The sequence below is a fragment of the Homo sapiens genome, chromosome 12, assembly GCF_000001405.40.
Source record: "Homo sapiens chromosome 12, GRCh38.p14 Primary Assembly".
Lineage (NCBI taxonomy): Eukaryota > Metazoa > Chordata > Mammalia > Primates > Hominidae > Homo > Homo sapiens.
The window spans coordinates 52,151,968-52,152,640 of NC_000012.12; the positions used below are offsets into that span (position 1 = coordinate 52,151,968).

At 72.7% G+C, this 673-nt stretch overlaps 1 annotated feature.

Moving 5' to 3' along the window:
* Positions 248-367: a silencer, noted in NCBI's record as "silent region_4483". NCBI's record gives its function as "represses an Ori minimal core promoter by ATAC-STARR-seq in GM12878 lymphoblastoid cells {active_cell/tissue: GM12878}" and the evidence as "EXISTENCE:reporter gene assay evidence [ECO:0000049][PMID:35858748]".

The following is a 673-nucleotide window of genomic DNA, read 5'->3' on the forward strand; positions in this document are numbered from 1 at the left end:
TGGCTGCCAGCTGTGCAGAGGGCGTGGCTGGTGTGGTCTGTCGCGTGGGGTGGCTCAGAGCCTTGGCAGGTCAGAGAGGGTGGAGGGCGAGGCCTCTGCAAGGCTCTGGCTGTGTCTAGTTCCAAGACTCCCCGCCGCACCTTGGGCACTGGCAGGAAGTGTTTGATGAGTGACTGATGGGGGTGGCGGGACGTGAGTGGCTCCCTAGGGTTGGCGGCTGGGTGGACGCCGCGCCGCCTTCACCCGTGGCCTGCTCGGGGCCTGCAGCAGCCCGTGGCAGCCGGCAGGGGGCGGTGCCCGACCGGCTTTGGGAGACTCCCCTCCCCTACCCCAGGCGGGGCGTCCCAAAGGCGGCGGGGCTCAGTTGTGGCGGCGCCTCCAGTGTCCTGTCCGGTCCCGTCCCGTTCCGTCCTGTCCCGTCCGGGCGGCCCCGAGCGGCCTTCCTGCCCGGACACGTTGGCCTGCGGGCGGGCGGACACCAGGTGTCGGCGCTGCGGGAACAGAGGCTTCTGAGCCCCGCCCAGGGACCTGGCGCCCCACCCTGCCCACCCCACGCCGGGCGCCTGAGGGTGGGCGCGGCGCGGGCGTGTGGTCCGGGAGGGAACCGCCGCGGGAGACAGGCCCCAAGTGCCTGGGTTTGGGGTTCAGGGACCCTCCGCGGGCAGGAACCCAG